Source organism: Homo sapiens, chromosome 6 (genome assembly GCF_000001405.40).
Source record: "Homo sapiens chromosome 6, GRCh38.p14 Primary Assembly".
NCBI lineage: Eukaryota > Metazoa > Chordata > Mammalia > Primates > Hominidae > Homo > Homo sapiens.
This window is the reverse complement of record NC_000006.12, coordinates 82,818,699-82,844,660: the sequence shown is the minus strand read 5'-3', so window position 1 is coordinate 82,844,660 and position 25,962 is coordinate 82,818,699. Positions and strand designations below refer to the sequence as shown.

General features: G+C 38.1%; 1 long non-coding RNA gene across 1 annotated transcript; it reads left to right on the top strand.

The window, feature by feature from the left end:
- The first annotated feature begins 8,180 nt into the window (after window positions 1–8,180).
- On the top strand, window positions 8,181–25,251 carry LOC105377877 (uncharacterized). Its single transcript, XR_007059665.1, has 3 exons — window positions 8,181–8,253; window positions 10,073–10,177; window positions 25,111–25,251. It is a non-coding gene; the product is annotated as an uncharacterized LOC105377877 (long non-coding RNA).
- Window positions 25,252–25,962: the final 711 nt, after the last annotated feature.

Here is a 25,962-nt window from a genome sequence, read left to right as displayed (position 1 = left end):
GGAGCAAGTCCTCTTAAACTTGCATAGGCAATAATTTCACAGCTGTAACAGCAAAAGCACAAGCAACAAAAGAAAATTTAGATAAATGGCCATGTATCAAAATTAAAACTTTAGTGCTTTAAAGGACAATATGAAGAAAGCAAAAGGACAGCCTCCACAGAATGGGAGAATAGTCTTGCAAATTATATATTCAATAAGAAACTCTTTAGAACCAAGAATATATAATGAACTATCACAATTCAACAATAAAATGATAAATACCTCCATTTAAAAATGGGAAAGGATTTGAATAGATATTTCTACAAAAATATATACAAAAAATAATGTCCAATATAGCACAATGAATTTCTCATTAGGGAAATACAAATCAAAACTGTTAGATAACACTTCATATCCACTAGGATGGCTATAATAAAAAGATGGATAATAGCAAGTGTTGACGAGGACAGAGAAGGTAGAACCCTCATATATTTTGGTGGGAATGTAAAATAATGCAGCTGCATTCAAAAACAGTGGAAGTGCCTCAAAAAGGTCGACATAAGAGTTACCATATAATCCAGCAATTCTACTCCTAGATATATACCCATGAGAATTGAAAACAGATGTTCATCCAAAAGCTTGTACACAAATGCTCGTAGCAATATTATTGACAATAGCAAAATATGGAAACAACCCAAATGTCCATCAATTGATGAATGGATAAATGCTATGTGATTATATTCATATCATGGAATAGCATTTGGTGACAAAAAGGAATGAAGTATTGATATATGCCATGATATGGATGAACCTTAAAAACTTTATGCTAACTGAAAAAAAACAGACACAAAGGTTACATATTATATGATTTCATTTATATGAAATATCCAGATTAGGCAACTTCATAGAAATAGAAAGTAGATTAGGGATTGTGTGGCTGGGGGAAAGGGAAAATGAGGAGTGACTGCTTATGTGTCTGAGCTTTCTTTTTAGGGTAATGAAAATATTCTGTAAGTAGATAATGGTGAAGGTTGCACAAGTCTGTGAATACTAACAACCATTGCATGATATGCTTCAAAAGTTTTAGCCTTATGGAATGTGAATATCTCAACAAAGCTGTGATTAAAATAAAAATAAAATTTAACCTGGCATCAGGGTATAAACAAATGGGGGTGGATGAAGAAAGCAGAATAGCCAAGTTAATAGATTATTAATTGACAAGTGCTTAAGCTCAGTGTTAGTGATGGCAATGGGGAAAAATGCAAGAACCATAACCAAAGTTAGATTTCAGAATGTAGAAACTCCAATTGCAAGAGAAGTGAGAAAGGGAAGAATCAATAGGCTTTGCTTCTGGGTAACTCAGAGAATGGCTGTGCCATGAAGGAGTGAGAGGTTGTCAGGGGTGAAGGGGGTGAATGTGATGTCCAATATAGCATAATGAATTACTCATTAGGGAAATACAAATCAAAACTGTTAGATCTGAGTGGAATGTGACAGAGAGTAAAAAAGAGATGGCTAAAAACCAGTAACTGCCTTTACTTAATGTAACAGCTAACTTTTTTCCAAGAGAAAGTCTCGCTCTGTCACCCAGGCTGGAGGGCAGTGGCATCATCTCGGCTCACTGCAGCCTCAGCCTCCAGAGTTCAAGCAATTCTCCTGCCTCAGCTTCCAGAGTAGCTGGAATTACAGGCACGCACCAATTATGTCCGGCTCATTTTTGTGGTTTTAGTAGAGATGGGGTTTCACCATGTTGGCCAGACTGGTCTCTAACTCCTGGCCTCAAGTGACTCACCCCCCTTGTCCTCCCAAAGTGCTGAGATTACAGACACGAGCCACTATACCCAGCCAACAGCTAACTTTTATATAGAACTTGCTGTGTGTCAGATAGCATCCTAAGCACTCGACATGTATTAATTCATTTAACCCCTACAATGACTCTATGAGGTACAGACTATAAATATCTCCATTTTATAAGAGCAGAAAATGAGGCTCTGAGAGGTGAAATAATTGCCCAACATTGAGCATGAACTTATGCTCTAACTTCTATACTCTATACCGCCCTTTTAAGTAACAAGAAGGCACCCATCATTTATAGGTAATATTCATCTCCTCAATTCACAGTTATTATTGATTAACCATTTGTTTACAAAAATGCAAATTATCATGGAGTATTTTAGTCTTAATTTGTATAACTTGATTTTGGAATCTACCTGAAAATGAAACCAGTCAACTTAGTGGCATACACTTGCCGTCACTGAAGTTTGACACTTCAGGAAGATGTGGAAGGCAAGTTTCAGAAGGATTCATGTATTAGCCAAGGGTAGAGCTGATGTCTTCTCATATGCCCTCAGAGATATCATTCTCTGTGAAAGAATTTCTTCCCTGTTGGTCTCTCTGACTTCTGTAACATATGCAGAGATTTTCTGGAGAGCTTGAGATTTTATTTCTACTAAGCATTATGAGTTTTGTAGCTACCTTTCTGGCATGATTTTTAAAGCTTAATTTGCAAAAGTAATGATTCCTTTACTACTAGTGGTTAACTGTATTCCCCTAATATTTATAATGACTTACTTCTATCACCGACTATGAGATAATTACATTTCCTTTACTTCCTTTTTCAAAAGGAGATTACAGTGTCTAGTGTATATTCCTATGAATGAAGGCTGTTGGAAAAAGCAGTCATGCACAGGATACTGACCCTTGCATGGCTGCATAAAAGAGTGCCTCAGTCCTGACACATTTTCCTACATGGAGGTAAGGAGCCCTCACAGCCTGTGCTGGGCATATCATCTTGTTTGGGAGTATCTTTTTCTGCTCCAGGTTCAATGTATACTTTTTTCTTCCGTGTAAAGTGTGCTCATCCTATGACACCTGGTCAATGGCACTGCTATTTCTGTTCCTTGCAGAGGAAGAGATAGCGTCCTTTGCCTATAGCACAAGAGGGGCCCATGCAGACCATCTCCCTGTGTTGGCTGTGGGGCAAGACCTGCTGTTCATGGCACCAGTTTGAAGCCGATCTTGCTCTGCTTCTTCTCTATAAGAGGAAAGTGTTTTTCCATTCAGCGCCTGTGTGAATCATGTCTTTCTTGGTGATGCTTTCTTGGTGACTTGATGCAGTGAGGTGACATCCTGGGACTGCTGCTCCTGGTGGTAGGCATTGTCATGCTCTTTGCTGTCCTCCCTGCAGTGGACTCCTCCCCTAGAGGTGGTAACAGGTGTCATTTGCTTGCCAAGGGCCAAAATGCTACCTATCTGAAGAGGCCAGAGACCAAATGCTGGGACTGTTAGGTTAATATCAAACCTTCAAGAGCTAAAAATCAAAATTCACTGATATCATTTTAAAAATATAGATAAGCAAAAAGGAAAAACTATTTGTAATCCTGCCACTAAAACACAACTACTAATAGGGTTTTGAGGCATATCTTTCTAGTTTTTTCTTCTTTTTAAATATATACATTTTTAAAAAAGAATAGTTCTAGATTTACAAAAAAGTTGCAAATATAGTATAAAGATTTCCATATACCTTATACCCAGTTTTTCCTATTTTAACATCTTATGTTAGCACGGCATATATGTTACAGTTAATGAATTGATATTAATACATAATTAATAACTAAATAACATTTTGTTCATATGTCTTTAGTTTTTACCTGATGTTCTTTCTGTGTTCCACAATCCCATCCAGGATGCCACATTACCTTTAGCTGTCATGCCTCCTAAGGCCATTCTTGGCTTGACAGTTTCTAATACTTGGCTTGTTTTTGATGACCTTGATAGTTCTGAGGAGTACTGGTCAGGAATTTTGTAGAATGTATTTTAATTGGGATTTGTCTGACATTTTTGTCATGATTAGACTGAGGTTATGTGTTTTTGGAAGGAAGACCACAAAGCCACAAAGGTAAAATGCCATGCTGACCACATTGTATCCAGGGAAACATACTATACACATGACTTATTACTGTTCAAGTTAACCTTGATCACCAGGATGAGGTAATGTTTGTCAGATTTCTTCATTGTAAAGTTACTCCTAACCCACCCCATACTGTACTCTTTGGAAGGAAGTCACTATGTACAGCCCAAACTTATGGAATGGGGAGTTACGCTCTACCACCTTGAGGGTGAAGTATCTATATACATTATTTGAGATTCTTTTGCATGGGAGATTTGCTTCCTCCATTTATTATTTATTTATTTATTTATTCAGACATTTATTTATATCAGTATGGACTCATGGATATAGATTTTATACCTTGGGTTGTAATCTAATACTATTTTCCTTGTTTTCTTGCTCAAATTGTCCCAACTTTTGCCATTGAGAGCTCTTTCAATTGGCTCCTGTATGCTTGCCCTTTGAAATACCACTATAACTGTGGGTTTGTTTTGGGGGATTTTTTTTTTTTTGCAGTAATTTTTTACTTTCTGGTACTGCACTTACTCATCTTCAATGGGTCATATTCATGACCCCAGGCCTAGAATTGGCCATATCTTTACTGAGCTTTTGTCTTTTAATGAAATAATGGCATTAGAAAGCAAGATCTGGGCATTAGGGGTGTTTATTAATATGGGGGTGCCATTTCTTCTAGGTCCTTTAAGCAGAAGAGAGCAAGAAAACATATATATGTATATATCAACTTGTGTATATATATATATATATAATATTTCTATATGTAACCATCTATACTTATTTTAAGCTAAAACATGAGTTCATACTGATTTCTCCAACTCTAATTCATTACCATAGTGATCATTCTAGCTTCCTCTTTTTGCTTGTCAAAAACCTCCTACTCCAACAGTGAAAAACGTGGCTCCTACCATCTGCCATCCATTTACATATGCTTTAATCCCAGTATACATGTATAGCAGAATCAGAATTGTTAACCTGTATTCCCATGGAAACAACTTTATTAGCTGGGGTACAGTAGTTATATGCAATTTATTTTGCCTTTAGTCTTCCTGTATTCACTCACTTCTGAACTTACTTATTAGTACCTTTTCTCCCCTACCCATTTCACTGAAATTATTTCATACATTTGTAATAAGTTAAATTCTTTGGTCACATTCTGCATTCCAGGATCACATGCTAAGATCCCCTGAACTCCTAAATGCTTTTTTAAAAATTTTCACCCATTGAGGTTCACTCTTTGTGTTGTAAAGTTCCATGGGTTTTGTCAAATATATAAAGAGATGTACCCACCATTACAGCATCATACGGAATAGTTTCACTGCCTTAAAAATACTGTGCTGCACCTTTTCAACCCCCGCTCCTCTCCTTGAAACCCTGTTAACAACTATTCTAAAATTATTTTGCCTTTTTCAGAATGTCATATAATTGGCATCATACAGTATGTAGTCTGTTCAGACTGACTTTTTTCACTTAGCAATATGTGTTTAAGATTTATCCATGTCTTACTATGGCTTGATAGCTCACTTCTTTTTGTCACTGAATAATATTCTACATTTTTACCATTGAATAATTGTACCACTGTTTATTCATTCGTCTGTTGAAGGACAAATTGGTTGCTTTCAATTTTCAATTTAAACTTGCTAGAAACATTCACATGTAGGTTTTTGTGTGAATATAAGTTTTAAAATCTTTTGCATATGTACCTAGGAGTGCAATTGTTGGATTATATGGAATGACTATGTAAGAAACTGCCAAACTCGGCCAGATGTGGTGCCTCATGCCTGTAATCCCAGCACTTTGGAAGGTTGAGGTAGGAGGATCACTTGAAGCCAGGAGTTCCAGACCAGCCTGGGCAAAAAAGAGACTTCATCTCTACAAAAAATTTAAAAATTAACCAAGCATGGTGATGCGCGCACCTGTATTCCCCGCTACTCAAGAGTCTGAGGTGGGAGGACGGCTTGAGCACAGGAGCTTGAGGCTACAGTAAACTATGATCGATCGTGCCACTCTACTCCAGCCTGTCTCTTAAAAATAATTAAAATTTAAAAAATTAGAAACGGCCAAACCCTGATTCAGTACCATAGTTATCATTCTTGCTTCCTCTCCTTTCTGCTTCTAAATGACCATCCCGTTTTGTATTCCCACCAGCAATAAAAGAGTTTTTGCTGCTCCACATCCTCAGCAGCAATTAATGTGATTAGCTTTTTGGATTTTAGCCATTCTAACAACTGTAGAGTTGTATTTGTATTTTTTTTTTTTTGAGGCAGGTTCTCACTCTGTCGCCCAGGTTGGAGTGCAATGGCACAATCTCAGCTTACTGCAATCTCCACCTCCCAGGTTCAAGTGATTCTCGTGCCTCAGCCTCCAGAGGAACTACAGGTTTGTGCCACCACACCCGGCTGATTTTTGTATTTTTTGGTAGAGACAGGGTTTCACCATGTTGGTCAGGCTGGTCTTGAACTCCTGACCTCAAGTGATCTGCCCACCTTGGCCTCCCAAAGTGCTGGGATTACAGGTGTGAGCCACCACACCTGGCCATTCATTGTTATTTTAATTTGCAGTTCATGACAGCTAATGTTGAGCATCTTTACATATGCTTTTTTTTTTGCCATTTGTATATTTTGTTTGGTGAGGCATCTGTTGAGAACTTTTGCTCATGTTTCGGTGAGTTGTTTTCTTGAGTTTTAAGACATCTGCATATTTTAGATACAAGTCCTTTATCAGATATGTTTTGAAAATATTTTCTTACTGTTTGTGGCTTATGTTTTGATTCTCCTAACTGTCTTTGACAGAGCAGAATTTTTAAATTTTAATACAGTCCAACAATTATTTTTCTTTTATAGATTGTAATTTTGGTATTATATCTAAAAACTTATCACCAAACTCAAAAATCACATAGATTTTCTTTCCAGTCTTTTTTATGCCTATATATTTTATCAACATGAGATTGTACTGTATGTATATACTGCACTGCAACTTGCTTTTCATTCTTAATGATATATTGCAAACTTTTCTCACACTGTTAGATATTCTTCTAGAGCATCTTTTCATTAACTGCTTGGTATTTTCTTACATAGATGTACCAGTAAGTATTAAGTCAACCCCTCTAATGTTGAATAATATATTTTTAGGTGTACTGAATCATTATACACATTTCTGAAAAGTTGTTTCAAATTAAAACTTATTGGACTAAATAAAGGTTCTCAGTCTCTGACGTGAAGAAACAATTATAGCCTTTCTTTCTTCCTTTCACAGATATTTAATGAATCTGTGCAGTATATGAGGTTCATGAGAGGCTCACTCTATTAAACCCTGGGATTGCAGCAGTGAATTGGAGTTCCTGCCCTTAAGGAGGTTACGCTCTAGTAGAAGAGTCATAAAAAAAAAAAAAACAGTATGACTTTTGATAGTTATCATTGTAATAAAGAATACAAAGGAGGGTAAGGGGGTAGTGATGGAACATGTGTCTTGAGGCTTTAGGCAGGAAAGACAATGAACACATTAAGGACTGGTAAATTGGAAGAGAAAAGTGTTAGGGGCTGAGATTTCTGAACTGCTATAGCAGGAGTAAAGAAAGGCAGAGCCAGAAGGTTAGAGAATATAGAGAATGAATTTTCAAAATAGGAGCAATTCTGAGCAATGACAAGTGCCCCAGTGTGATTAGGGGAAGGGATAGATGGAATGACAAAAAGCTACAATCAGTGGAACTGTGAAGAACCATTAGGTTAGGGCCCTGAATGGTCATCTGCATGAAGTCTCACAGGATGGCAACGGAACTCAGAGTTGAGGAAAAATTCGAGTAGGTCAATGAACAGTTCAGAATGAGGTGGAGTCACTGGAGGTCAGAGCTGACGGAGATGAGTGGAGTAAGAAGTCATATGGCCGGGCGCGGTGGCTCATGCCTGTAATCCCAGCACTTCGGGAGGCCGAGGCGGGCGGATCACCTGGTCTCTACTGAAAAAAAAAAAAAAAAAACAAAAAACAAACAAACAAAAAAAACCAAATATTAGCCGGGCGTGATGGTAGGCGCCTGTAATCCCAGCTACTTGGGAGGCTGAGGCAGGAGAATTGCTTGAACCCTGGAGGCGGAGCTTGCAGTGAGCCGAGATCGCGCCACTGCAGTCCAGCCTGGGTGACAGAGGGAGACTCCGTCTCAAAAAAAAAAAAAAAAAAAAAAAAAAAAAAAAAGTCATATAGCCAAATGACAGTGTCCTAAACGGAATGGGGATTTTTGTACAATACAACAAAACCCAGTGGTCTGGAAGTGGCATGTATGATTTTTTTTTTTTTTTTAATGCCGACTCCAATTCCCAACCCCCAGGCGCAGAGTAAGAAAATGAGCTGGAACTGTCTCCTGAAGCCTGTCAATGGTAAGGAGCAGCCATTTTAGGCGAGGCGGGTTTTAACCAGGGCAGTGAGGCAGGGAAGGGGAAGCTTTCTGTGAGGAGCTGAAGGGTGCAGGGGGAGCTTGTTTATCATGTTTCAGTGAAAATCTCTGGGAAGGAGGGAAGCGTGAAACCTGAGGGTGGGGAGAGGAAGCACAGAGCAAAACCGGGACGTGGGTGGAGGACACAGGTGATAAGAGTTGCTTCTGTTTTGAGCCATAGCCAAGGAAAATGTAGACCTCAAGGTTTTAAAGGAACTCTGGGAGAAAGTGCCTTGATGTCAGCGCAATTTGTGGCTGAAATGAAGCTCATGGTTAGCGTCCTGCTGTGGTCATTAGGTCAAGTTGAAGCCGTTGCTGGAAAGCGATAAAGAAAGCCATGCTATAAACCAAATTATAGGCAGTTGCTTATATTCAGAGGAGAACAAAATCTTTTAAATACCTTCAAGCACTTCAGAAATGCCCATTTATCCTCAAATTGATTTGTTAATTACAAGTGACTCAGAATTTCTTTAAGGCAATTCCCTTGAGAAACTGTCTAAATTATACTTCCTCACCTTACCTGCTGGTAGTGTGTACCTGAAAATAATGGAACTATATTTCTTTAAATATGTTTAATAATTACAAAATCCACCTGACCACTTGTTCTGAAATAGCATGTACCTGTGCCACTCCCACCCCATAGCTATTTTCCTCAGCTGTCAGCCAGAACAAATTCTCCTGAGTTCTCCACTCAAGTTCCAATATTTCTTTGTGCTTCCTCTCCCCTCTCCCAATGGCTTCAGCAGTGTAGGTTGGAGGAGAATTCTGGCTAATCTCACCTCCACAGGGAGAGGCAGTATTAGGAAGCATCACTACCCAAATTAGGCGACAGGTCATGATTTTCCCATAACTGGAGATGGCAGGTTTTCAAAATTTTTTTTAATTTGTAACCTACCTTTTCATCACATAAAAATGGCAGTTTTGAAGTTATATTTCTTATGCCTAGATCATGATTCTTGAAATGCTACTCCAGTATTAGGGAAGTGATAGGTTCCAATACATTTGCCATATTATGCAGGAATAGTTTCGTATTTGAAAGAGCCTGAATCTAAATATGTAGTTGTTGCTATTAAGGTTACTATATTTGAACATATTTGTCTTAAAAAAGAGTATAACACAAAATATAGTTAAATATGTATAAAATAATAAAAATAGGTAAAATAATAAAAATAGGTAAAATAATTGTAGATAGGTAAACATTTATAAATTTAAATGTCTAAAACAATGACATTAATTATAGAGGTATGTAAAATGTACAAATAAAATATGTATAAATAAAATATAGTTAAAATCATTAAGGAATCTCTGTTATATGTAGTCACAATAAGATTTTGAAAAAAATTTTGGAAAGGTTTTTTTTTTCCTAACTCTACCAATTATATTTAAATTATTTGTCAAGAGTTTGGTCCAAATGCTGTAAATATATTGTTGCTTTTGTCATAATTTTCAGCTGAAAGGCTGGTAGCCTTTTCAGTACATAAACTTTTGGAGGGGATGAACATTACTTAGGATAGGAGGAAAAAACCTCTAAACAACAACAGGAACTTCCCAATTTGATATAGTTTGGATATGTGTTCCCTCAAATCTCATATTGAAATGTAATCCCCAATTTTGGAGGTGGGGCCTGGTTGGAGGTGTTTGGGTTATGGAGTGGGTCCCTTATGGCTTGGGGCCGACTTTGCAATAGTGACTGATTTCTTGAGAGATCTGGTTGTTTAAAAGTGTGTATTACATTCCCCCACTACTCTCTTGTTCTTGCCTAGTGAGATGCCTTGCTCTCCCTTTGCCTTCTGCCATGATTGTAACCTTCCTGAGGCCTTACCAGAAGCGCATGCCGGTGCTATGCTTCCTGTACAGCCTGCAGAACGGTGAGCCAATTGAACTTCTTTTCTTATAAATTACCCAGCCTTGGGTATTTCTTTATAGCAGTGCAAGAACAACATAACATACAAGTAAACAAACACATGGGGCCAGGTAATAAAAAGTCAGGCTCAAGAGGTCAGGGGAGACAATCTTCCTTAGGTTGCAAGAAGGTTAAAAAGATTATACTTATCTGGAGAAAAGTGATATGTTAAAATGGACTCCCTGTACTAAAACCAGAAAGGGAGTAGCAAAATTGAAATGTGAATATACCAAAGCTTATGGGAGGACATTCTGCTGGATTGATGTTGTCTCTTAACCTGAAAATTAAGAGTACTTCTGTGTAGGTTGAATCTCCGTTTCCCCCAGATAGGTAACAAGTAAGCTTGCAGTTGTGCAGTGTGATATGCAACATACCCAGAGAATATTCTATGAGGGATTCAGAATCTTGAGTCTACTCTGTTGGCTTAGTAGATTGTCAACCAAAATTCACCCAATCTTGAATCTACTGTTTCACTTAGTTCAGGTTAGCAGCCGATCTCCATATGACAGTTTTGTTAATTATAACTGAACTCATACATTGAAATGAATTTTGGGGGATCAGGGGCATAATATTTTGGACTGTCATCTCAGTAGATCTGGAAAGCAGAGCATTGCGTCAAAGAAGATTATTCCTGAGGTTTAAGATCTCATAGAGTTGGCCTTGCTAGGTTTTGAACTTGCTTGAGGCCTGTCACTCTTCCTTTTCTCTTTTGTCTCCCTTTTGGAATGAAACTACCTTTGCAAAGATAATGACAGTGAGAGAAATCTAACATGACTGACTCCATCTTGCTGCTAGTCTCACAGGCTGGCTGTCCTTGCTCATTCCTAGGTGTAGGCCAAGCTAACTTTGGGAGACATTTAGTTTATAGTTTAATCTTAAAGCAAGGATGATAATAGCACCTCCCCAAACTAAACTGCCTTTTGTAAAACTAATGAAAGGCCACGAGGTTGGATTATGAGAGGGGCATGAATTTTGCTAAAATGTAGATGTAGTTAAATGATACCAACTATTGTTCTGGAGGTCACAAGATTTGTGACTTCCCCAATTACTTCTGTAGATAATGTCACTACTGTAGAACTTAAGATTGGTCTTTTGAGATGTTTTTCAGACTTTTGCATATTGGCAAATGACTAACCCCACTCACAGGTGACTGACCCCACCCAGAGGCAGACTCAGGGCATAAGAACGATTTTCCACACTGCTATGATTGCATCCCCAACCCATCAGCAGCATCCATTCCCTAGTCCCCTGCCCACCAAACTGTCCTTGAAAACCCCTAAACTCAGAGCCTTTTGAGAGACTGATTTGAGTAATAACTCCAATTTCTGCATGGCCAGACTTGCATCAATTAAACTATTTGTTTATTGCAATGCCACGGTCTCACTGAATTGATTTTTGCCTGTGCAGCAGGTAGGAAGAACCGGTTAGGCGATTACAGGAATGGGATGTCTCTTCTATGCCTGAATCACCATTGTATTTTGGAAGCACATAACTTGTTTAGCTTCACAGGTCACAGCTAGAGAGAAATTTTACTTTAGGATGAATAGTACCTTGAGACTCACCCATATCACATTTAGATGATATTGAGATGAAACTCTGGACTTTAGATTTTAGAGTTGATTCTGGAATGAGTAAAGACTTTTGGGGCTGTTGGGATGGAATAAATGTATTTTTCATGTGAGAAGGACATGGATTTTGGGGAATTAGGGGCAGAAAGTTATAGACTAAATGTTTATGCCCTCCCCGCCAAATTCATATGTTGAATCCACCAGTGTGATGGTGTTTGGGGACAGGGCTATGGAAGGTAATTAGGTCATGGGGGTGCAGCCTTCATGATGGAATTAGTACCCTTACAAAAAATGATATGAAAGAGCTTTGCCTCTTTCTCTGCTCTCTGCCATGTGAGGCTACAATGAGAAGATGGCCATCTGCAAATCAGAGAGAGGGCCCTCACAGATACTAGATCTGCCAGTGCCTTGATCTTGGACTCCCCAGCCTGCAGAACTGTGAGAAATAAATGTCTGTTGTTTAAACCACCCAGTCTCTGATATTTTACAGCAGCCTGAACAGACTAAGACAATATATATAAAGGGCCATAAGTGGTCTAGAACTGAGACTTAATTGAGTGTAATGTGTGAAATGTGTAATTGTCTCAAAAAACTATTTATATCCACTGATATACAGAGGGGTCAAAGAATCTTCTGGAAGCAACAATAATAACCTGTCTTTTGCTGTGACTTCCAAGGAAGTTCAGGTGTGTGTGGGCATGTTATGAAAATGAGGGTAGAGGACAATGAAATTCAGGTTTCATGTAGGAACTGTGAAGATGCTGAGGGTCTGAGGAAGTTATGATTTCAGATATAAGAGAAAGAATGTTACATACACTTGAAACTGACCCTATCCAGCCAGGAGGAGTGTTACTTGGAGGAAGCACTTGTCTTTTCACTTCAAAAGATTCTACCAAGCTCTCAAGACACTAGAAAATGGGAGACCTACAAGGATCTGTACTTAGCATAGCAGAAGCCAATGTGGCACAAGTTAGGACAGCACAGGTGACAGTTCAGAACCAGAGGCCAGCAGAGGTGAGGACTGATGGGGTCTTCTGATCAGCTGAGGTCACTGGTTGCCTGCTAATCACAGATCATATGATTAGTCTTTGCCTAGTAACCCCAGGGATGGCTTTGTGGGGCTGTAGATGTTTGTATCTTTAATCTGAGCGCTCTAAATCTATGCTCTTTCTGTAGGATCTGCATTCTTCTGTATACCATGGTGGTGATGGCTGGGGGTTGAGAGGTGGTAGCAGAGGGTATAAATCTTGGTTGGAAGAAACATTTGCAAACTGGAGTTGAAGTTGAAAATGCATCTACTATTTGACTAACCAGATGATACTTCCTATGTAACCCCTCTAAACACTCCCTACTTGCAGTGCCTCAGGAATAGTTTAGGAGTATTTCTGTTTAACCATTTCATGCCTGATATCTTGTGGGTTACATTTGCTCTAAACTGTGTCTCTTCAGACTGGTATATCTTTGTCACACAGAGTCTGATCACCCCTGAGGACTTTTGAGACAGTTTTGAAAATTCAGTTCTAACCGGGTGACCATCTTGTGGTGTTTATACAGATTTGATATTTTAGATCAAGTTACAAAGAACTACTAGTTCCAAGGGAGCCTATCAAATTATAGAAAATTACTAGTTCCAAAGGATATTATATGGTGCTCCCCGTAAGTTTGTGAATCACTTGGTTAAATGATGTAAAACAAGTTTCTTTATTGCACTATTTTTCAGGGTCTTTAATATGCTAATATACATCGGAAAAAAAGAGAAGATGATATAATATTAGGCATTTCACTAATTTATTTGAATATTTTTCACAGAATACTTATTAACATCTTTTTCTCACATAATTCTAGTTAATAACTTTCAGGATAATAGTGTTCTAAGAAATAAAGTTTGAGAAATATTGTTTTACAGAAATTAAAAACATTAGCCTGGCCTTTTGAATTTCTATCAACCCCTGGCAGAGCTGAGCTATTATTTTTGGTGAAATTCCAGCTTCATTAACAAGATTATATTAGCCAAATTACCTCTCTGAGCCATTGAGGGACAATCTGTCACCTCCTGTCCTAAACTTACAAATTATTATCTTGGGAATTAACATCTAATTCACTAAAAGAAAAACAAATTCTTCCCAGTGGAAGAACTCCAGTTGCTTGGTTTATAGTCATGGTTACACAGTTTTCCTATTTTTATTAATTTTGTTAAAAGATTTGCTAAAACAAGAGTAGGACACTGCCTAGGTCTTACTGTTGAGTTTTAGAAATTTGTTTTATTATAATTTGGTATAGTAGAAAAGTCATTTTCCAGAAGGATGATTGTCAGAATCAGATCTCTTTCTTAGCCAAAAATAGGAGCAGCCCCGACTACTCTCTCTCCTGCTTGAGATGGCATAATTTATCAACAAGGGGCCTTTGAATGTGATGTTCTCAGATGGAGGCTTGCAGTAGAACTTGAACTTTCTGGTTCTTTAAATTCTAGGAGTGAGAAATAGCTCCAATCATGAGTCTCTAGGTGGCACAGAATCTTACAATCCCCAGGTACTTGTGGTTGGGGACAGGTGTCTCTAAGGTCTGTGGATAATGTAATACGTGATATAAAGGAAGGGCAAAAAATTAGCATGCACTCTCTGATGGGTTAAAAGAAAAGCCCTGCATGAATGTATATTTTTAAAATGGTGTTCGTGACCTCTAATTGTGGGTCTACAAACTGTTTTACCTTTACTATCTAGCAAGTAGTCATTTGATAGACACAAAGCAATATGACACAATTTTTTTCAAGGTATCTTTAAAACCAAATATTTGATAATCCATCTAAATATTTGAAAAGTATTTAATCAATTGTTTGCTTTTATGAAATGACACTGGGTAATACGGTATTGTATTAGTCAAAATGGTCCAGGTTTTCTATGTTAACGAACTTCTCCAAAACCTCAAAGGTATAGCCTAAAGGTTTATTTTTCATCCACACTACATTGATAGCATAAACAGGTTCATCAATGGGTAAACTACAAATCTGCTCCCCATAATGTTGACTCTGGGGTCAGGCAGGTACAGTAGGCTTTACCTGGATCATTGCTAGCTTTGTGACAGAGGGGGAAAAAGACAGCAAGCCATGTGCTGGTTCCTATAGCTTCTGTCCAGGAGTAACACAAGTCACTTTGGCACTTTTTATTGGCTGAAAAGAAATCACAAGACCAAACCTGACATCAGTGGGGGTGGGAAAGTATAATCTTTACCCAAACAGGAGCAATGAATATTTTTGAACAAGAATGCAGTTTACGGTGGAGATCCTGACTTTGTGTTAAAGGGGTGCAGGCTATGGGCAACAAGGGAGGGTAGTCTCAAGGAACCCATTGCTACGCTTGAAGCTTTCTGGGTGCCAACTCTAGTCTAGATGCTCTTGGGTCCAGCAGCTCAATGTTTTATCTTACTTTTTCAACACACACCAATCCCCTCAATGCTTGAGAGTCCCAGCTCCTGAAGGTAGGTTTAGAAGTATTCTGGTTCAGTCTAGACAGATATTACAGCATAATCTTTGCTTTGGAGGTTATCTGGACTCCAGAAAAAATGTGCAGCCTTGAAATGGCTGTAAAGCTAACCTTGAAGTGCCAGAGCATCCAGATGTCAGTGCCATCTTCTTGCCAGCATGGCAAGAACCTTTTGCCATGGCTCCTCCTCTGACCCATATGCATGCTAAGGAAATCCTGGGTATGAGTGTGTGTGTGTCTATGGGGGGATAAAGACCTAAAACCTACACCACTCTTTCTAAAGAGCCAGAGGAGCCCTCATTGAAATACAAACTTAGTAGGCACCCCACAATTCCTGAGCTTATGAGAGAAGGAGAAGGGAGGGTGAGTAAACTTGGATTTTTTTCATCCAGAACCATTATTTTATCCAGAGTAACTCCATTTTTACTGCTTACATAATTGGGAAGCCTCACAAGATTGAGTTTGTGAATAGAAATCTATTGAAACCACAGTGTTACAGAGCATGAAGGCAGATGCTTAAATCGGTTAAATATAGAAATAAAATTTAAGGAAATTTCTACTTGTAAAAGCGTTTAGAGCAGCTGGGCATGGTGGCTCATGCCTGTGATCCCAGCATTTTGGGAGGCTGAGGTGGGAGGATTGCTTGAACACCAGTCTGGGCAACATAGTGAGACCTTGTCTCTACTAAAAATTTTAAAAAATTAGCTAAATGTGGTGACTGGTGCCTGTAGTCTCAGCTACTGGGGAGGCTTGGGCAGGAGGATTACTTGATCCAAGGAGATTGAGGCTGCAGTGATTGCTCCACTGAATTCCAGCCTGGGCAACAGAGTGAGACCAGGTCAATCAATCAGTCAATCAATGCTTTTAGGGCCTCTTTTATTAAAAGGAGATGGTATGTATTTTCTTTTTTTAAATTTAAATTTTATTTTACTTTAAGTTCTGGGATACATGTGCAGAACGTGCAGGTTTGTTACATAGGTATACATGTGTCATGGTGGTTTGCTGCACCTATCAACCTGTCATCTAGGTTTTAAGCCCCGCATGCATTAGGTATTTGTCCTAATGCTCTCCCTCCCCTTGACCCCCACCCCCTGTGAGGCCCCAGTGTGTGATGTTCCCCTCCCTGTGTCCATGTGTTCTCATTGTTCAACTCCCACTTATGAGTGAGAACATACGGTGTTTGGTTTTCTATTCCTGTGTTAGTTTGCTGAGGATGATGGCTTCCAGCTTCATCCATGTCCCTGCAAAGGACGTGATCTCATTCTTTTTTATGACTGCATTGTATTCCATAGGGTATATGTACTACATTTTCTTTATCCAGTCTATCATTGATGGGCATTTGGGTTGGTTCCATATCTTTGCTATTGTAAATAGTGCTGCAGTTAACATACGTGTGCATGTGTCTTTATGGTAGAATGATTTATATTCCTTTGGGTATATACCCAGTAATGGGATTGCTGGGTCAAATGGTATTTCTGGTTCTAGATCCTTGAGGAATTGCCACACTGTCTTCCACAATGGTTGAACTAATTTACGTTCCCATCAACAGTGTAAAAGCATTTCTATTTAAGGAGATGATATATATTTTCACTCATATATTTTTTTTATTTTTTATTTATTTTATTATTATTATACTTTAAGTTTTAGGGTACATGTGCACAATGTGCAGGTTTGTTACATATGTATACATGTGCTATGTTGGTGTGCTGCACCCATTAACTCGTCATTTGGCATTAGGTATATCTCCTAATGCTATCCCTCCCCCCTCCCCCCACCACACAACAGTCCCCGGTGTGTGATGTTCCCCTTCCTCTGTCTATGTGTTCTCATTGTTCAATTCCCACCTATGAGTGAGAACATGTGGTGTTTGGTTTTTTGTCCTTGCAATAGTTTGCTGTTCACTCATATATTTAATCTTTCAGTTTAAACCCATTTCCACTCAACCTGTCATTGGCAGTGACCTGGAAAAGCATTTGTGTGAATGTGTCAAAAACAGTATGGAGTTTATCCTTTCTGCTCTTCTCTTAACTCTGCAAACACTCCTTTTGGGACTTTTAAGTTGTAATATATATTTTTATTTTGAAACAATAAAAAACTTACAGAAAATTTGTAAGTCCATTTCAAAGAATATTTTTTCCTGAAACACTTAAGTATAAGCTAGTAACCTAAAACCTCATCACTCCTGTTTCTTTAATTTCCTTCAAACAAGAAGTCTCTTACATAACCACAATATAATCATTATATTAAATTGAAAGTGCTGTCATAACAAACTATCACAGACTGGGTGGCTTAAACAACAGAGATTTATTTTGCTCACAGTTCTGGAGGTTGGAAGTCCAAGATCAATGGGTCAGCAGCTTTGGTTTCTCCTGAAGTCTCTCTCTTTGACTGGCAGATGGCTGCCTTCTCATTGTGTCCTCACATGGCACTCCTTATATCTCTCTCTCTGTGTCCAAATTTCCTACTTTTATAAAGAAACCAGTCAGATTGGATTAGGGCCCACCCAATGGCCTCATGTTAACTTAGTCGCTTCTTTTTTTTTTTTTTTTTTTGAGACAGAGTCTCACCCTATCGCCCAGGCTGGAGTGCAATGGCACAATCTCATCTCATTGCAGCCTCCGCCTTCCGGGTTCAAATGATTCTCCTGCCTCAGCCTCCTGAGTAGCTGCGATTACAGGTGTCTGCCACCATGCCCAGCTAATTTTTGTATTTTTAGTAGAAACGGGGTTTCACCATGTTGGCCAGGCTGGTCTCGAACCCCTGACCTCATGATCTGACCGCCTCGGCCTCCTAAAGTGCTGGGTTTACAGGCATGAGCCACTGCAACCACCTACTCTGTCACCTCTTTAAAGACCTTGTCTCCAAAAACAGTCACTTCTGAGGTGCTGGGTGTTAGGCTTCAGCATGTAAATTTGGGGAGAAGGATACGATTCAGCCATAACAACCATCAAAGTCAGGAAATTAACATGAATGAAGTATGACCATCTTATCTTCAGACTCCATTCACCAAATGTCCTAATAATGTACTTTATAGCAAAATAATCCAGTTCGGAATCACAGGTTGCATTCAGTATCATGTCTCTTTAGGCTCATTCCCTCTGGAGCACTTCCTTACTTGTTTGTTGTTGTTGTTGTTGTTGTTGTTGTTGTTGTTTTAACTTTCACAGCTTCGCTATTTTTGGTTACAAGTCATTGTTTTTGGAGAATGTTCCTGAATTTAGGTTTGTCTGATGTTTTCTCATGATTAGATTCTGATTATACATCTTTTGCAGGAACATCACAGAAGTGATGCAGGCTTTTTCTCATTGCATCCTCGCACATGGCACCAATTCTGATCAGTTCCATTACTGATGATGTTCACTTTCATCACTTGATTAAAGTAGTTTCTGCCAGGTTTCCCCACAATCTTATTCTTTTTTTCCTCTGTAATTAGCAAATATTTTGTAGGACATTGTTGTGAAACTGTAAAAATATGTAAATATTATACTTTCAATTTGCTTGCATATTTATTTCTAACTCGATTTTCTTAGGGTTTCCAAATTCAATGCATTTTAATTCATTATTACCATTAAGTATTTTAATGACCCAATTGTCTTAGATTTGACCAGTGGGAACCCCTTCAGGATGATTTCTGTATTCTTTTGAAATATCTCATTCATTCTGTGAGCATTTTCTTGTTTTCTGGCACAACAAGATGTGCCATCCAGCTCATTTCATGTTTTCCCTGCTCTGGCCCTGGAATTAGCCACTTTTCCAAGGAGCTCTCATTTCTTTCAGTGAAGAACGGTATTCAGATCTGAGTGCTCATATGGTCCTTGCTACTGGGATCACAATATCAGTAGACAGAGCTAGAGAATATACGTGTGTGTGTGTGTGAATACATACATGTATACACACATTTTTATGTATATCTATTTCTGTATGAAAACACACACACACACACACACACACACACACACACACACAAAACTATGAGTTCACCCTGATACCTTCCAATCCAACACCACAGGCCTCATGCTAGTTTCCTCTCTTTTCATATTGGTAGTTCCCTTTTCTGACAGGGAGACACCTGGTACCCAGTATGCTTAATGTATTTTTTATTTGATCAGTTCTCCCAAAAGTCACCAATTTCTTATCACAGCTATCACACCCTTCATTGGGCATGTTCCCTCATCACCCAGCTCTGGCTCTGACACCCCACACAGGGTCCTTTCTGACACGTATACCTTCCTCACCCTCCTTGGGCTCTGATACCTGCTGTGGACCACTGTGCCTCCTGTCCCCGTCCTGGTCTGGACACCTATGTTATTCTGTCCTACCTAATGGCTTTAGAACTAAGTTTCTAGGGAAGGGAAAGGAATGGAAGGGGAAGTGGAAGATGATGGGTCTGGAATCACCTTAAACCCATGCAAACTATAGAATGGTATCTACAGTATTGTTAAGCATGTGAAAGTACCACATAACCCAGAAAGAATATATAGGGTTTTTTTTGGTTGAACTCATTGTACATGTTACTATGTTCTTTCTGTCACATATTCATAATCAATGCTAGCTTCTGCGTTTGACTCTCAAATGAGAAGAAATATACACCTGCTGGACAATGTCAGTTACCTAGAAAGTACCCAAGAAGGGAAGTGCATTAGGAGTTGTCCCATCTTGTGTCTGTGCTGGAAACCACTCTGGTTTTTTTAAGCAAGCAGTAACTCAAAGGACAAGTATATACCATATGTCTGGGACCTGTGGACACTGCTATCTTGGATTTGTAGAATTCTTTCTTAAATATTGTATTCTGGGGAATGCTCATATAATGCAAACAGCCTAGTTATACATGACAGCTACAGAAGAAACAAAAATTAATAATAGAAAGATCAGAAACGAATGCTATTTACTGTTCACAATTTTTCAAAACATGGCATTTTGCCTATACATTTATTAATGTGCTTGTGTGGATAAACGTGTATGTAGTGGAATCCATTACAAGGTAATGTTACCTGACAGTCACACTGGGCCTTATTGAATCAGAAATTTTACTGTATTGAATTACAATTTAGGGAGCATATTTTGACAGCAGTATTCTAAATCCATCTATTTTAATGGTATCTCACTGTAACAGTATAAACACCATCAAGTATTAGTCTTTAACCTCTATAGGAATTTGACATCTGAACAGATTAACACTAATCTTTGCTTGTGTGATTGTTCATTTTAGTATTTTTGTGGGAAAATATACAGATATGATATTGTATATAAAAATAGCACAACCAGATATCTATACAGAAATTAGCATAAATGAATCCTAATTCTAGAATTCACTTTCGTGAAAGAAATGAGACTCATTTCTTTCCAAAAGGACAAGTTAGATAAGAAATCCAATTAGTTTCCCAAATCCTCCTTTCATTCTCAAATCATTTCATCAGAGCTGCTGCCTTGGTACCACTGCTTGGATTGGGTAGGAGAGCCAAATGTCTAGCAGGCGTACTCAGCCATTCCTAACACTAAGACATGAAATATAATCTGTATTTATAATGCAGTTTGAAAACGTTTGCTTAGAGTGTGTTTTTCCCCACAAGGACAATTGCATTTAAGTTAAAAACAGCTGATTCTGAAGGGATGTCTTTTTGTTTATTTACTGTATCTTACTGAAAAAAAAAATTTCTGATTTTCTTGAGTTCTGTTTATATTCAAGGTAGTTGGAAAAATAACTATTTACTTCCATTACTTCTATTTCTGCTATGGAAACTGTTCTTTTTCTGTTTTTCATTATGCTTTTTACTTCCTTTTGTCCTTCTCCTTCCTGCCCTGTCTGGGTTTTGTTAGTTCATATCCTCTTTGGATATGGTCAGAGTCATCAGTGATGGAAAATGTGACTGCCAGAAAGTCTACCTTCATCTTTAAAACTAAATAACTTGACAGCCTTTTAATTTACACTGTTGTCAGAGATGGCATGGAACATATAGGCTTTGTTACTGATTTCTGACATTTAACTCATTGAACAGTGTGGCAAATGAAATCCAGGAACTTCATATTGGTAAAAAGACATATTAATTTTTTAATAACACATGTCTTTTAATGTTTTTCTTTTAAGGAACTGTGACTATGATCTTCTAGAAATGAATATTTTTGAGAGCTATAAGAATGTGTGTCTAGTCCTTGTGACAGACGACTTGTAGACAATTGACCAGTTAGAAAAAGCCTAGAAGCTATGTTATCTATAAATGCAACCTTCAAATTCCAATATTTATGAACAGGTCTCTCACACTTTACCATGACAAATGATGTTACAGGAGCTAATTAAAAATGACCAACTTTTAAAATAACTTTCATGTCTACAATTCTTTAGACCCTATGACTCAGGAATCACATTTCCCTTACATGGTGTTTGGTAAACTTCAATGTGTGTGCTGTAGTTGATATCCAGGATTAGCTTGTTTCTTTTAAATTGTCTAGGGATGTGTCCAAAAGAACATTTAAAAATGTGCCTTGTGATACATAAACAGTTTAAAGGTCAATGGAAATTTAAAAATCCAAACATCCAATAGAAAGTATAATGAAATAGCAAATCAGAATTAATTTTCTCTTATTTTTCATCCACATTTACTTTGGAACATAAACCTACTTTCTAGGTTAATAGATACTTACAAGCTAATATATGTTTGATGTTAACTGTTAAATGTATGATCATTTAAACTTTTTAAAAATCCTTTAAAAATTTTTTATAAACAAAGCTTTCTTTTTAGAAATCACATCCTTTTCAATAAAAATCATTTTTATTTCTTTTCTTTTTTTTTTTTTTCTTGAGACATGATCTTGGCTCACTGCAGCCTTGCCTTCCCAGGCTCAAGCCATCCTCCCACCTCAGCCTCCCAAGCAGTTGAGACTGCAGGCATGTCCCACCATGCCCAGCTAATTTTGTTTATTTTTTGTAGAGATGAGGTCTCTACTCACTGTGTTTCCTGGGCTGGTCTCCAACTTCTGGGCTCAAGCACTCTTCCTGCCTCAGCCTCCCAATATGCTGGGGCTACAGGTGTGAGCCACCATGCCTGGCCGATAAGCAGCATTTAATATATATAAATATATATAAATATAATATATGTAATTAATATATTAATAGAATATAACCTGTTCACAGAAGGCTGAATGATAATATAGCTCAGTTATGGCTACCATTTATTGAACATTTATGACACATTAGGCTCTTTCATATATCTCATTTAATTCTCATGTCAGCTCTACAGGTAAATAATATTATGTTTCTTTTACGGATAAGGAAACTGAGGCTCAGTGAGCTTAAGTAATTTTTCTGTGATCCACAGATAGAAAATGATAGAGTGATACAGAAACTTAAGTCTCACATTTGAAAAATCCAAAAAACCCTACCATTATACCACATAGGTTTTGAATAAGTTACAATGCAATTTCACATATATTTATCCCTTAAACTTGCTCTCACTATTTACGTTCTGAAATCTGAAATATGGTTCCTAGGCTCATGCTTTTGCTTTTCTCTATATTCAGTTAAGTATTGTAGAAAATTATGTAGAAGTATTTCTATTGAACATAATAGCCCTCCAATAAATACAGTCAGCCCTCCAGATCCACAGGTTCCTATCCAACTGCATGGATGCAACCAACTGCAGATTTTACAAATCTTTTACATATTTTTGAAATATTAAAAAAATCCACAAAGGTCCAAAAAGCGAGATTTGAATTTGCCATATGCCAAGCACTATGTTGATTCTATGTGAATGAAGTGATATATAGGCATTGTATTATGTATTAAATGTAATCTAGAGATGATTTAGAGTATATGGGAGGATGTACATAGGGTATATGCATATACTACCCCACTTTATCTAAGGGATGTGAGCATCCGTGGATTTTGGTATTTGAGGGGGGTCCTGGAACCAATTCCCCATGGATACCAAGGGACGACTGCATTTACAGACTGAATGCAGAATTGATCCTAGAACAATATCATTTTTGTCTCTTTAAAAGCACCCTAATAAACACTGATCTGTGGAGCGTTGCGTGTTGATAGAGACTGGACAGCTCTGGGTCTCAGATCTCTACAGCAGCATATAAAAAAATAAGGCATTCATTACTGATGCTGAAACAACTTCTCCTCCCTGTGGACTGCCTCTTAAGCCACAATAACATTTTACAAATACAATATTATTCAGCCAATCATTTCCCAAGATGCGTAGAAATCTGAATGCAGATCATATTTGTGTAAGTCTCAGCACAGTTTTATGTCTGAAAAGTGAATTCAGTGACAGTTATTACAAATGTCTCAGCCTCCTTTTGAAAGGCATCTCACTAAGGTCAAGAATTAAGAAACTAACTTTTTGTTCCTTTGGTCTCTGTCATGAAAACTTGAGGCTAAACATATTTGTACTATGCAAACATTCAAAGCAGCAGCTAGGTACTACATGTTTTAATGTAATTTTTATCTATGATATGCTGTGAAAATATTTCTAAGAAAACATCTAACTGCTGAAACTTCTCCATTATATCAATTATATTGAGACACTGAATAATAAGTACATTTTTACTCCTCATTGGAATTTCTTTCATTTTTTTCCTTAGTTTTCTCATTTTTCCTAAAAGAGATGTACTTGTCACACAAAGTAATTATTAAGCATTGTGAGATTTGTGCTTCAATTGGAGATAAAAAATAATATGAAAATGAGATGAAAATAAGATTAAAACGTTACCTCTTTCATCTCCATGGATTGGAATCAAAATGTCTGTTTACCTCAAGTACCCATCATATCATCTTTTCCTTTCTGCAAGACCACAGTGGTAGAGGATAAAGCTTGCTCTCCTGGCACCATGGAGCCCAGAAAATTGCTGTCTTTCTCTTGTTTGTATTTCTGTACTCTGCACTAGGTACTACCAGAGGTTGGCAGGAAGCATGTTAGAAATGAGACTAATGCTTTCTATTTCAAGTGGGTGCTGGAGGATATTAGAGGTAAAAGCTGCCCTTGAAGAGCCCACTTCATCTTGTAACGAGACTTTGCGGCCCGTCCTGCTGGAATCTGGGTTACTTTTGGAAACCCAGTTTATTACCTAGAGATGTGAGAAGTCTTGATTGACCTGTCCTCCCTCTATGGCTAATAGAACTGTCAGCTCTCCTGTCACTCGGCCATCTCCAGCCCTAGAATATAATAAAGACCTTGAAGGTAATACGGGAAGTGGAGCATCCCAAGGGTATAGCCTTCTCAAAAATAAGGCTGCTTGTTGAACCCAATACTCTACTTCAAAGGTTTGAATTCATAGCAAAGGGGAGTGAACTTGAAATAGCCTTGCTTTTTTAATCAGTATAATTTCCTTTTCCATTTCAGCATGTGCATATCACTTCAATCTATGAATGTCCCAAATGTAGCAATGAAAAGTTGAGCCTGGCAAGGTGAGAAAAGATAACTCAGAGGAGGCCATGATTTGTGTGTGTGTGTGTGTGTTGGGGATATGAATAGGTAATAGCAGTTAGTTGTAAGGGGTGCTTTGTCTGAAGGAAAGCTAAAACCCAGGTTTTAGTAAATAACTATTAAATTCTATTCCATTTATTGAACCAGGCAATATACATTGACCTCTTGATCTTAACTGGTATCATTCCCTCTGCTGAAGTTAGAGACAGAAGATGCCCTGACAGAGATGATTAATGTTCACAAAACATTCATGTTCTCTCCTTTACATTTACACCCAGTCTCCCTTGCAGGAATGTTTGAACCATGAGACTAAGTTCTCATCAATGGGAGCTGAGCAGAGATAATAAACCATTTCCAGAACTGACTGCTGAAAACATCTCAAGTGACTCTCCATGTCTCTCTTCCCTTGCCTTTTGACCTTAGAGGCCACAAGTTCCAGATGGCATTACTACAAGGGAGGAGCAACCTGGATTCCTGGATTTCTGCTCAGAAGAGGACTGCCCTGGAGAGCTACTCAGTTACACTTCAAATAAGCGAAAATAAACTTTTATTTTATTAAGCCAATGGGATTTCAGGGTTTGTTATCACACAGCATAGATTATCCCAGGAGTTCTCAAAATGTGATTCCCAGACAGCAGCATCAGCATCTCCTGGGAATTTGTTAGATATGCATATTTTTGAGCTCACCTGAAGTCTAGTAAATCAGAAACTGAGGGTGGGACACAGTGATCTGTGTTTTAGCAGGCCCTGCAAGTGATTCTGATACACTCTAAAGCTTTGAGAACCATAGGTCTAAACTACCTCATCAATATGGCAGAATCCTTGATCTCCAGGATCTCACAGTCTAATAGACAGAGGCCCTTGTATCCTAACCTCTTCTCAATTTTCCCAAGTCCTTCTTGCCTTTGCTGAAACCAGCCCATCTTCTGAGGACAGGACGTTTCTTATAGCTCTCTCAAAGCAGTGCTATTTATTCTTTTACTACTCGTGCCAAACCTGCGGTTGGTGATGAAACAAACTGTTGTTATCTTTGCTTCTTCCAACTTAGCACTCTCTTACTCTTCTATAAGAAAAAAATATTTTGAAACTCATGCCATTCAGCTCTATCATTCTTTTTATTTCCTGGTTTATGTCATCTGGCAGCCTCTGGGTGTCCATTTATTAATGACTTTGGCATGTGGATCACAGTCTTCACCTCCACCATGAGTATGGATCATTTCTATGCACACTTATACTTGTTTAAATCTCTCTTAGATAAAATAAATTCCTGAACCT